This window comes from Homo sapiens, chromosome X, assembly GCF_000001405.40.
Source record: "Homo sapiens chromosome X, GRCh38.p14 Primary Assembly".
NCBI lineage: Eukaryota > Metazoa > Chordata > Mammalia > Primates > Hominidae > Homo > Homo sapiens.
The window spans coordinates 5,717,794-5,726,895 of NC_000023.11; the positions used below are offsets into that span (position 1 = coordinate 5,717,794).

General features: G+C 38.8%; 1 long non-coding RNA gene across 1 annotated transcript; it reads right to left on the reverse strand.

The window, feature by feature from the left end:
- Positions 1-1,377: 1,377 nt before the first annotated feature.
- On the reverse strand, positions 1,378-8,401 carry LINC03070 (long intergenic non-protein coding RNA 3070). The gene is made up of 2 exons (XR_247295.4): positions 8,137-8,401; positions 1,378-2,079 (listed from the first exon to the last, which is right to left on the reverse strand). It is a non-coding gene; the product is annotated as a long intergenic non-protein coding RNA 3070 (long non-coding RNA).
- Between the last annotated feature and the right edge of the window lie 701 nt (positions 8,402-9,102).

The following is a 9,102-nucleotide window of genomic DNA, read 5'->3' on the forward strand; positions in this document are numbered from 1 at the left end:
AGAACTACCATTTGACTCTGTAATCCCATTACTGGATATATACCACCCCCCCTCCCCCAAAAAATTGTTCTATCAAAAAGACACATGCACTTGCATGGTCATCACAGCAATACTCACAATAGCAAAGACATGGAATCAACTTAGGTACCCATCAACGGTAGACTGGATAAAGAAAATGTGGTACATGGGCTCCATGGAATACTATGCAGCCATAAAAAAGAATTGAATTGTGTCCTCTGCAGCAAAATAAATGCAGCTGGAGGCCATTATGCTAAGAGAATTAATGCAGGAACAGAAAAGCAAATACCACATGTCACTTGTAAGTGAGAGCTAAACATGAGTATTCATGGACGTAAATGTGGGAACAATAAACACTGGGGACTACTCGAGGGGGGAAGAGGGAGGAGGGCAAGGACTGAGAAACTACCTTTTGGGTACTATGCTCAATATGTGAGTGGTGGGATCATTTGGACCCCAAACCTCAACACCACACATAAAATCATGTCACACACTTGCACATGGAACACTTGAACCTAAAATAAAAATTGAAATAAAAAAATCATTTTTGCCTTAATTGTTTGAGTCTCTGTGTTTTCAAACTTTGAATTGCATGAGTTATGGAAACATGACTCATAAATGGATAGATTGGTACTGAGGTCATTTTGGCTTCCAAAATGCAGGAACATACAGAGATTTTTGAATGAGACCAGAGTGCATCTGGAAGCAACAGAGTATCTGTTGTTTATTTTTGTCCTTAAGTGTGTGTAAGAGTGAGCGGGTTGGTGGGTCTGTGGCTGGTGATAAGGGAAGATGATGGTGCAGATTCTAGGTCTTAGTTGAAAATAATATCCACAAATTTCATATAAGAGAAAGAAGCCACCTCATATGTTGCTCTCCTACTAGCTCTTTCTTTTCCTTCTGCCTTGTGAAACCAACATTCTTCACAAGAGGATATAAGATCCATATGTTTTAGGGATTTCCTTCCCAGTCCATGAAAAGTCATCAAAGCTAATAAATGAATTAGGAATTCACTGCATTGCTAGGCCTTTCCCTGCATGGCGGTCAGCATCTGGGAATCAGGCTATAATTTTCACTTGTGATACAGATGTCCTGGTGGTTATGTCAACAAATCACAAATCTATCATCTCTCTTTTATATCCGCTCATGCTTATTTACTGTGATTTTAGCTTTAGGCTGGTTGCAGTCTGCAAGACGTTTACCAAAAGCAGCTTGTACTGTGAGCTGACCATTCACCCACTGCTAGCTCAGGTTGGGGCCATTCTGTGATGCCAAGTGTTAAATTTCTGTCCTAGTCAGAACAGAGCCCCTGTATTAGTCCGTTCTCATGCTACTAATAAAGACATATCTGAGACTGAGTAATTTATAAAGGAAAGAGGTTTAATTGACTCACAGTAACAGTGAGTTTGGCTCACTCATGGCTGGGGGTGGCATCACAATCGCAGCAGAAGGTGAATAAGGAGCAAAGTCACGTCTTACATGGCAGCAGGCAAGACAGAATTTGTGTAGGGAAACTCCCCTTTATAAAACCATCAGATCTCGTGAGACTTACTCACTATCATGAGAATAGCATGGGAGAAACCAGCCCCCATGATTCAATTACCTCCCACTGGGTCCCTCCCACCACACATGGGAATTATGGGAGCTACAGTTCAAGGTGATATTTGGGTGGGGACAGAGCCAAACCATATCAGCCCCATTTCTGCAGCATTGAAAATCCCATACTTTCTGTTGTCCTGAGTCTCCCATCACCTCCACCAACAACTTGGGTCTCCTCAAAATGTTCCATCAGCACCATCTATCCCAGGGTGTTACATGCTTCACTATCTTCTCATCAAGGATATTCCCATGCCCCAGTCACTTCAGGCTTATGGTCATTTTAATTAAATGCTTCCATTCCAGGAATGACAGTCCTTACTCCAATGCTCTCCAAATATTTTATTCTCCTAAAATATCTTTAGTCGGTTGGCTCTCACATACTGTCATGCAATAGTTGGGCATGACGAGCTTTTTCTTGAATCCAGTGGTTTGGCGTAATCATTATCTAAGCCCAGGTTTTTTCTGAAAAGGGAGAAAGAGAGTTGATGCTATGAGATTGAAGCAAACATCATTTACCCTACAAGATTTCTCTTAAGAGTCTAACGACACTTTCTTTCTTTCTTTATTATTATTATTATACTTTAAGTTCTAGGGTACATGTGCACATCGTGCAGGTTTGTTACCTATGTATATAAGTGCCATGTTGGTGTGCTGCCCCATTAACTCATCATTTACATTAGGTATTTCTCCTAACGCTATCCCTCCCCCCTTCCCCCACGCCACGACAGGCCCACTTTCTTAAAGAGCAGTCAATAAACAGTAGAGGTGGGAATAATCATTAAAGATTCCCACCATCTTAATCTAAGGGTTCTCTAAAATGGGAATCTCTCAACATCAGAAACACCTCTGTAACAGCCAATCTCAGTGCACTGGAACTTAAACTTTTCCTTCCAAATATTCAGAATGGCTCCATTGCTTTTAAAGCCAGTATCCTGTGAAGGAGATGTAGGTATCCTACCTTCTCTAGGCAGGTTTCCATTTGAAATATTATCTTCTTGTTGGCCCCAGAAAGGGATTCATACATTTCAGATTCATTGACTCTTTTTTTGTTTTGTTTTGTTTTGTTTTTAACCATCATCTTTAAATCTGATGAACAATGTTTTTGTCAAGTTCAACTAATTTCTTCCAATGTGGCTCCATAAGACCATTTGGTACCATGGATTATAGACCCTTTAATCTGTTTAACAAGTCTATACAGCTGTTGGAATTGTCTGAGAAATTTGCCATATTGATAGAAATGAAACCTATATGTAGACAGTATCACGTGGGAAGAAACACTGTATCTTAATAAATGCATGATGATGTTTTGTGAATATTTGCTACTTATGTATGTCAAAAGATTGTTCTGCACACATTTCGAAGAAGCTATGCGGTAAAAGATTACTGCATTTAAGTTGGGTTATCATCAAGATTAAACCCAAAGCAATTAAAAAGCCTTCATATATACCATGTCTGCCCTCATTCACACATCATCAGAATGTTTCATAAGTAGCTAACCACTTCCATGCATTTCCAGGTGGGGAAAAGTTTATAATAAACTTGTAAATTTCTTGTGTACATTAAAGCTGCATCCCTTCTCATGACCACAAAATTGAAGTATTATGTTTATAACAGATGCCACCTTAAGTAATTAATTTAGAGAAGTAAGCATATTGACATAATTGGAATGTTGAGCTGAACTATTATTTGCATGACCTGCTGTATTCACTAAAAACTAAAGATTCTGAACACGCTAATTTTCACATGCACAGAGTCATAAGTCAGCCATCAGACTTAAGATGCAAACTGTCAATTTGAGTGACAGGCATTTAAACTTTGAGATGAGGGAAATAAAGGCGATCCTATTGACATATATTCAGATATCTTTCATTGTACTGAAATCAAGGTACCAGTTTTTGGGACTTCTGTAAAACATCATTCTCTTGGACATTTATTTTACTTTGATAATTCAGATCTTTAAAAATATTCCTTATAAGGAGGCCCAAGAGTTACTTACTGCATACATTTTCTGATTTCAATGTAGCTTTCTTTAATAAAAATTGCAAATGTCAGAATTCACAGAGGAAAACAAAGAGCATTGTTTGGAGTGAAAACTAGCAAATAAATGGTCTCCAAACATCAAAGTTGAATTAAAAAATATATTTTTAATCACTGGTCATGCAATTGGCTTCAAAGATAAGAGCCCAGGAAACAGCTGATATGGTAAAGAGCCAAGTAAAATACAATGAAAGAAAAGTTAACTGGTGGCTGATTCACACTCAATAGCTCAGTCAAAATCTGGTCCTTAAACTTTGCATGGAGATAGTGGATTTCAAATTTTAGTTTCACAAAATTCCCCTGGTAAGACTCTTTAACATACACACCATCATTTTTAACAATCACCACTGGGAATATTGGCAATCCACATGTATTATGGACAATATTTTTGAAGACTATTTACATGAAAGAGAGAGGGAGACAAAAAGAAAGAGAAAGAGAGAGGGAGAGGGAGAGAAAGAGGGATTAATAGACAACCATATTTTAACATTTCAATAATACACTGCGGTTAGGCCAGGCATGGTGGCTCATGCCGGTAAACCCAGCACTTTGGGAGGCCAAGGTGGGTGGATCTCTTGAGCTCAGGAGTTCGAGACCAGCCTGGGAAACATGGCAAAACTCCGTCTTTACTAAAAATGCAAAAAAATTAGCCGAGTGTGGTGGCACACACCTGTGGTCCCAGCTACTCAGGAGGCTGAGATGGGAGGATTGCTTGAGCCTGGGAGGCAGAGATTGCAGTGAGCTGTGATCATGCCACCGCACCCCAGCCTGAGTGACAGAGAGAGGCCCTGTCTCAAAAAACAAACAAACAAAACAAAAGCACTACAATTAGACTTGAGACAAGTGCTTTTAAAAATGTATTTAACTGAAACTACGATGGAGAGAAATGATGAACAGATGTTAATGGTGAGTTTTCTAATACACAAAAGGCATGATGAATTACATATAATATAGCATGTAAAAGGCATATTATGTATGCAAGAATGTTTACCAAATAGAATGTGAAATAGAAAAGAGATGAGAATTTTTTAAAAGTAGTTTACTAAAATTGTGAGACCATAAATATTTCAATAAGTTAACACAGTTCACAATAAATATTTTGTTAGCATTTCTTTAAAATATTGTCTTCATTTTGTTGGAGTATATTATGATAATTGATCATATTCGGAGGAAGAAGACATTCTTCCTACAATCAACTCATGATTTAACAGACAGGCACTTCTCAGGGAAACAGCCACATGCTTCATCTAAATAATTTTTTTTTTTTAGACAGGGTCTCACTCTGTCATCCAGGTTGTAGTGCAGTGGTGTGATCAAGCTCACCACAGCCTTGATCTCCCGGGCTCAAGTGTTTCTTCTACCTCATCCTCCTAAGTAGCTGGGACTACATGCTACAAGCCACCATGCCCAGCTAATTTTTTTTATTTTTGGTAGAGATACGGTCTTGCTATGTTGCCCAGGCTCATCTCAAACTCCTGGGCTCAAGGGATCCTCCAGCCTCATCCTCTCAAAATACTGGGATTACACAGGTGAGCCACTTCATTACTTTATTTCCTAACATTGCGCCTCCTTCCTTATTTTCAAGATAGATCTTGCGTAACAGAAAGATAGTTAAAATTTTCCTAAAAGGTACCACTTGATGAATAAGAGATGAGTAGGTATCTAGGAAACTGAAAGAATGAGGGTGAGTAGAGAAAATACATTTCATTTTACCTCATTCTGAAGTGATGTTGACACTTCTTCAGGGACCTACCCCTGAGTCTCTACCAATAGCCTCCTATCCTAAGGCACTTTGTTGATTTTTAGATGACTAGCACTTATTCAAAATGCATGAGAAATGGCCATTGAGAACTGAAAGATATGGTCACTTTTTTCTATGAAATCTGATACTTTCTCTTGAACATCAAGTCCATAAAACACACAAATTAAGTTAGTTCAGGAATACAAAGTTAGACCCTGGAAACCAATATCCTGCCGTTTTGCTGCCCCAGCACCCTGGCTTATAACAGTTTAATAAATGCCTTCAAGGGCTCACTTAATAACACTTTATTGAGTTTTAGAAAAAAAGCCATCATTTTTTCCACTTTGCATTAAACTGAAGAATACAGAAATAATAAAACATACAGTATTATGATGCCACCACATTTAACTTATCTTGCATGGAAAGGTCATCTTCTAAGCACATTTGCTTGATTGAAATGAAGTCTCTAGATATATATATGGTTGATATTTCAAAAGTGACTATTAAAAAAATACAATGAGTATCAGTTCTCAGATAAAGAAATTCTTGATCTTGATTCAACTGTGCTCTCCTATATTTTATAAATTGTAGTAATTCCTTAAACATCACTAGAAAACCGTCGGAAAATGCTTTTGAAAATATTTTTACTTTCAGAATTATGTCACCATATTGAAAAACATCAATATACTATTCCTTTCAGAAACAGAATTTGCTCTTTCTTCTCCCATCTTGAAGAACAGAGTTTTCCGATAGAACTTTCTGCAATGATGAAAATATTGTATATCTGAGCTTTGTAATAGAGTAACCACAAGCCACACTTGGCTGTTGACAACTGATATGCAGCTGTTGAAAGTAAGGGACTGGATTTTTAATTTACCTTAAATTTATTAAATTTAATTAACCACACGTGGCTAGTGGCTACCATATTGGACACTGTAGATCTGCAGATCGAATCCTTGCAGCTACATCAGCTCAACCTCAGAGTTCATTAGAAATGCAGATTCCGTGCACCTCACCCCTGAACAATCCAGGCAGGACTTGTATTTTAACAAAATCCCTAGATGATTCATATGCATGTTAAATTTTGAGAAGCACTCACCTAGAAATTGTAGGAAAAACAAATTGTCAGTGTCAGCATTTACGTCAGAGAAGAGCTAGTCAAAAGGCAAGTTCCATGCGTACAATTCATACAACAACATGCAAATAAAATACTGTCAACATTCTTCAAAAACATGTCTATGGATTTCAATGATTGTTGCAAGAATTATATGTATGTATTGGGTTTTTGCCAGAGTATACATGTATATATTGAACATTTTCTTTTGATCTCTTCGGTCATAACTTTGAAAGTCACTTGTAGTCCTCTCAGGCACAAAACTTTTGGACAAAATGCGCTCTTTTATTATAAAATATTTGAAGAAATAATTTAAAGCTGCAATGAGACAATATAATTTTTCTTTGATGTGAGATACTAAATGACAACGTCATGAGGGATTAAAGCATGCGTTACTACAGTTGTTCTAATTATTATGGTTATTGTGCTTTTTTTAACCTATTAATCTATGTTGAGTCTCAAATGATATGTTTAAAGCAAACTTAAGTTTTAATTGATGAAGTTACTGGCTCCAGCAGACACACTTATGAGTACTATTACAGTGAGCATGGACAAAAATATTTACCCTTTAATCTCTGTGCTGGATGGGAAGGACTTAATGAGTTCAATAACCACTGAGCTCACATAACCTCCTTTAAACAAAAATGAAAATGCATAGAAAAAGCTAGTTTCCAGTCTCAATGTGCAAAATAACTACTGTATGTTCTTCAGTACATACACTTCAATATATACACACTGTTTGAATGCAGGTAGAAAAAGCATTTCTTAAGCTCTCTGAGTGAGAGGAAAATCATGGTCATAATTTGCATAACATCATGATAAAATATAGAAATTTGTTTTGCAAATCCGAGGAGCTAGGACAGGAAAGTGAGACATCACATTGCTAACAAGGACAGGAAAATGGGTTTTGAGTATTGCTTTACTAGTATAATGTATTTTCTGAGGTTTGGTCCTGTGGCTTATGCCCGTAATCCCAGCACTTTGGGAGGCTGAGGCAAGTGGATCACTTCAGGTCAGGAGTTTGAGACCAGCCTGGCCAACATGGTGAAACTCTGTCTCTACTAAAAAAACAAAAATTATCCAGGTATGGTGGTGTGCACCTGTAATCCCAGCTACTCAGGAGGCTGAGGCAAGGAGAATCGCTTGAACCCAGGAGGCGGAGGTTGCAGTGAGCCAAGATCATGCCACTGCACTCTAGCCTGGGCCACAGAGCAAGACTCTGTCTCAAAAAAAAAAAAAAAAGAAAGAAAGAAAGAAAGAAAGAAAGAAAGAAAAAAGAACATATTATACCTATGGAATCCACTCAACTCCCTGCAGGAAGGAAAGGTGTAGATTCATGTCCTCTCTAGCACATGGGCTATGCAGGGAGAAAACCAGAGGGTTCTTCATGTCCTTCTCCCTCTTCCCAATTGACTCTGTGTCTTGCCAGTTAGGGAGGAAGCAGGGAAAAGAAATCACAAGTGGAAAAAAGAAAAGTAGCCAGAGAGATAATGAATCAGAAAATGGAAATCGATGACAAAGATTCAACCATGGGACATAGAAATATGGGGAAAGACAAACAAATAATGACTGAATTAGATTCCTGCGACTGTGGATAGCTGGGAACAACAGACATGTATTCACTCACAGATCTGGAATCCAGAAGCTTGAATTCCAGGTGTTGGCAGGGACTCTTCCTGAGAATATGGGTAGAATCTGTTCCATGCCCTGTTCCTAGTTTTTGGGGTTTCCTGCAGTCTTTGGTGTTCCTTGGCTTACAGTTGCTTCTCTCCAATCTCCTCCTCTGTCTTCTTACGATGTTCTCTCTGTGTGTCTGTCTTTTCACATGACAGTCTCTTTTTTGTGTGTCTGTCTTTGTGTCTCTGTGTCTCCGTGTCTCCTTGTAACTGCCCAATGGGCTCACCTTGCCCGCTGCCTAGACAGAAGCGATTTCTCAAGACAGGGGAATTGCAATAAAGAGCAATTCATGCAGAGCCGGCTGTGTGGGAGACAGTAGTTTTATTATTACTCAAATCAGTCTCCCTGAGCATTCAGGGATCAGGATTTTTAAGAATAATTTGGTGGGTGGGGGAAGGCCAGTGTGTCAAGAGTGCTGACTGGTTGGGTCGGAGATAAAATCATAGGGAATTGAAACTGTCCTTTTGCACTGAGTCAGTTCCTGGGGGGGGACGACAAGATCAGATGAGACAGTTTATCCATCTGGGTGGTGCCAGCTGATTCATCAAGTGCAGAGTCTGCAAAATAATACTAAGCGCTGATCTTAGGAGCAGTTTAGGGAGGGTCAGAATCCTGTAGCCTCCAGCTGCATGACTCCTACACCATAATTTCCAATCTTGTGGCTAATTTGTTAGTCCTACAAAGGCAGTCTAGTCCCCAGGCAAGAAGGAGCTCTGTTTTGGCAAAGGGCTGTTATCATCTTTGTTTTAAACTATAAACTATATAAACTAAATTCCTCCCCAAAGTTAGTTCAGCCTAAGCCCAGGAGTCAACAAGGACAGTCTGGAGGTTAGAAGCAAGATGGAGTTGGTCAGGTCAGATGCCTGTCACCATCTCAGTTACAACTTTGCAGTGTCGGTTTCATCTTCTCTTGTTA